This window comes from Homo sapiens, chromosome 7 (genome assembly GCF_000001405.40).
Source record: "Homo sapiens chromosome 7, GRCh38.p14 Primary Assembly".
Classification (NCBI taxonomy): Eukaryota; Metazoa; Chordata; class Mammalia; order Primates; family Hominidae; genus Homo; species Homo sapiens.
In genome coordinates this window covers 86,599,155-86,603,456 of record NC_000007.14, presented here as the reverse complement: position 1 = coordinate 86,603,456, position 4,302 = coordinate 86,599,155, and the positions used below count along the sequence as shown (strand labels likewise).

The window sequence follows — 4,302 nt, the reverse complement described above, 5'->3', positions numbered from 1 at the left end:
TTTACATAATGAATCACATTTATTGATTTGTGTATGTTGAACTAAGCTTGCATCCCAGGGATAAAGCCTACTTGATCATGGTGGATAAGTTTTTCAACTTGCTGCTGGATTCACTTTGCCAGTATTTTGTTGAGGATTTCTCCACAATGTTCAGCAAGGATATTAGCTGGAAGTTTTTTTTTTTATTTTGTTTTGTATCTCTGCCAGGTTTTGGTATCATGGTGATGCTGACTTCATAGAGTTAGGAGGGAGTCCCTCTCTTTAATTTTTGGAATAGTTTCAGTAGAAATGGTACCAGTTCTTCTTTGCACATCTGGTAGAATTCAACTGAATCTGTCTGGTCCTAGGACTTTTTTGGTTGGTAGGCCATTTATTTCTGTCCCGATTTTAGAGCTCATTATTAGTATGTTCAGGGATTCCATTTTTTCCTGGTTCAGTTTTGGGAGGGTGTATGTGTCCAGGAATTTTATCCACTTCTTCTAGATTTTCTAGTTTATGTACATAGAGGTGTGGAGTCTAAGTCTCTTTGAAGGTCTCTAAGAACTTGTTTTATGAATCTGGGTGCTCCTATGTTGGGTGCATATATATTTAGGAGAGTTAGATCTTCTTGTATTGAATCCTTTACCATTATATAATGCCCTTCTTTGTCTTTTCTGACCTTTGTTGCTTTTAAGTCTCTTTCATCAGAAACTAGGATTGGAACCCCTACCTTTTTTCTGTTTTTCATTTGCTGGGTAGGCTTTTCTCCATTCCTTTATTTTGAGCCTATGTTTCTCACTGCATGTGAGATGGGTCTCTTGAAGACAGCATTTCAATGGGTCTTGATTTTTTATCCAGCTTGTCGTTCTTTGTCTTTTAATTGGGACATTTAGCCTATTTACATTGAAGGTTAGCATTGATATGTATGGATTTTTATCTTGTCATCATGATGTTAAGCTGGTTGTTTTGCAGACTTGTTTATATGGTTGCTTTATAGTGTGACTGGTCTTTGTACTTTAGTGTGTTTTTGCAGGGGCTTTCCTTTCCATAGTTAGTTTTTCCTTCAGTAACTCTTGTAAGGAAGGTCTGGTAGTAACACATTCCTTTACCATTTGCTTGTCTGAAACTGATCTTATTTCTCCTTTGGTTATGAAGCTTAGTTTTGCCAGATTGGATTTTTTTTTTTTTAAGATGTTGAAGATTGGCCCCCAATCTCTTCTGGCTTTAGGATTTCAGCTGAGAAGTCTGCTGTTAGTCTGATGGGCTTCCCTTTGTATGTAGCCTAACATTTCTAGCTGCCTTTAATTTTTTTTCTTTCATTTCAACCTTAGAGAATCTGATAATTATGTGCGTTGGAGATAGTCTTCTTGTGAAGTATCTTACTAAGGTTCTCTGCATTTCCAGAATTTGAATGTTGACCTCTCCAGCTAGGTTGGGGAAGTTCTCATGCCTAACATCCTAAAATATGATTTTCAAGTTGGTTCCATTCTCTCCATCTCTTTCAGGTACACCAATCAGCTATAGATTCGATCTCTTTACATAATCTGACATTTCTCAGAGGTTTTGTTAATTCATTTTCATTCTTTTTCTCTATTCTTGTCTGCCTGTCTTATTTCAGAAAGCCAGTGTTTAAGAGTCGAGATTATTTTCTCTGCTTGGTCTATTCTGCTATTAATACTTGTGATTGCATTGTGAAATTCGTGTAGTGTGTTTTTCAGCTCTCTCAGGTCAGTTATGGTCTTCTCGATAATGGCTGTTTTGTCTGTCAGCCACTGCAATGTTTTATCATGATTTTTAGCTTCCCTGAATTGTGCTACAACATACTCCTTTAGCTCAATGAAGTTTGTACCTATCAATATTCTGAATTCTACTTTGTCATTTCAGCTATCTCAGCCTCAGCTTGGTTCTAAACCCTTGCTGGAGAGATGATGCAGTCATTTGGAAGAAAAAAGGCACTTTGGCTTTTTGAGTTTTCAGTGTTCTCATGCTAATTCTTTCTGATTATTGTGGGTTTATCTACCTTTACTTTTTGAGGTTGCTGATCTTTGGATTGTTTCCTTTTATCTGATTGGATGACATTAAGGATTTGATTGTGGTATAAGGTGGACTCAGATGACTGGCTTTGTTTCTGGGAGGTTTTAGGAGGCCAGCGCTCAGCTCCCAACTCCTAAACTGTATACTCTCCCTGGGGGGGAATTGTATTGGGCCCCAATTTTGTTCTCTATCTCCTTGGGGTTTGGAGTCCACTGTGCTGGTGGTGCTGAGGTGCAGCAGCTGCAGCTGAGTGCTAGTGGATCCCAGGGTGCCTGCCTCCCTGTGGGTATTCACCACAGTAGCAGAGGCAAGGCAGCTGATAGGGAGTGGGAGGCCCCTGCTGGAAGCTGTGTGTGTTGTTGCACTAGAGGTGGTGTTGGCGTAGGGCAGTGTGCTGGCTAGTGCAGATTTGGGTGCCTTCTCTGTGCTCTGCAAGCAGGAGTGATCAGTTAGGGTGTGGGAGGATCCTCTGTTCTCTGCACAGTATTAGCGCATGGGTGGGATGCTGGAAGGCTGGCTGGCTCTGTTCCTGCCAAGGCTTCATCTGCAATGACGGTCAGCAGGGGTGGGAGGGGTGTAATGCATTCCTGCCTGCTAGTGGGGCAAGTAAAGCAAAATCCACCTGTGTAGACATGCATCAGCAAAGTGATGTGAGGAGTTGCTGTGGGCTCAGGGGAAGCTGCAGCATGCAGAGGGAATGTGTGGGCTGGTGTGCGGCAATAGGGGCTGCCTCGCTGGAGCTCTCCACCATTCAGGCATGGTCTGCCAGAACAGAAACTATGGCATGGGCCCCCAGGGCACCCAAGACTGCCCTGTAAGCAGGTGTGTCTAGGCTGGGGCTCCATGAGAGGCAGCTGACCAAGGAGCGCTCAGGTTGGAGTAGCCCTATCTGATGTTCAAGGCCACCCTGAAGAGATCAGGTCTGACACCTCCCCTAGGACTAAAGTCTCTTATGGGAGCAAGTGCAGCCTAGACGAATGGCCATCCCTGGCCATACTCTGCTACAGATGTTCCCGCACCAAACCCTCTGGGCTCAACATCAGCTGGCTTACTGCCCCACCACTTTGCTTGTCTCCTGGGGGCTCTACCCCAGAGAGATGCAGGTCAGCAATTGCTCAGTGCACTCAGGCCAGGATGGAGGGTCTGTGCTGTGGACTCAAGCCAGGGATTCCCTGTTTGGCTACAAGCAGTTGGGCTTGCGTGGTTGCATGGGAGACAGACTGGCCTCCTCTCCTTGGGTGAGCAGCAACTTGTTGAAGGTGTTCATAAGGCACTTAGGGTCTTTACTCCTTTATTAGTTTGAGGGCAGCAAGGACAGTTTCACTGAAAAGGCAGTAGCAGAGAGACTTTCAGTTGCCCCTTGAGGCTCTGTCCAGGGAGTCACTGAGTTGCTACTGCCCCAATAGCTCTGGTTAGGGGTGTCTAGAGGCCTAGAACTGCCAGGTGAGGATATATGGGAATGGGCACATGTAACAGTCTGGCCACTTTTCCACAGGGCTGATGTAGTATTCTGGGGTTCCATTCCAGTTCGTAGTTGCCTCAGACTTTCCAGTACCTGGAGTTATCACCAGTGAAGGCTATGAAACAGCAAAGATGGCAGCCTAACCCTCCCTCTGGAAGCTCTGTCCCAGGGAGGTACGGGCCTGTTTCTAGACTGAATTCACGTGTAGGAGGTGGCTGGAGACCCTGGATGGGAGATCTCTCCCAGTTACGAGGAATGAGATTGGGACCCATTTGAAAAAGCAGTCTGGCCACATTTTCATAGAGGAGCTGTACTGTGCTGGGGGTCTACTTCAGCCCCTGGTCACCTCAGACACTCCAAAGCCCAAAGGCTGGAAAAGCTGTCTCCCAAACAGCAAAGATGGTGGCCTGCCCCTCTCTCTGGGTGCTCCATCCTAGGGAGGTTTCAAAACTGCATCAGGTCGGGCGTGGTGATTCACGCCTGTAATCCCAGCACTTTGGGAGGCCAAGGCAGGCAGATTACTTGAGGTCAGGAGTTCGAGACCAGCTTGGCCAACATGGTGAAACCCCGTCTCTACTAAAAATACAAAAATTGGCTGGGCGTCATGACGGGTGCCTGTAATCCCTGGTACTCAGTAGGCTGAGGCACAAGAATTTCTTGAACCCGGGAGGTGGAGGTTGCAGTGAGCCGAGATCGCACCACTGCACTTCAGCCTGGGAGACAGAGTGAGACTCAGTCTCAAAAAGCAAACAAACAAAAACCAAACAAACAAACAACAAAAAAACTGCGTCAAGTGGAGATCACTGGTGGGGGTGGCTGAAGACTCC

At 45.7% G+C, this 4,302-nt stretch overlaps 1 annotated feature.

Moving 5' to 3' along the window:
- Positions 2,224–2,313: an enhancer, noted in NCBI's record as "active region_26221". NCBI's record gives its function as "activates an Ori minimal core promoter by ATAC-STARR-seq in GM12878 lymphoblastoid cells {active_cell/tissue: GM12878}" and the evidence as "EXISTENCE:reporter gene assay evidence [ECO:0000049][PMID:35858748]".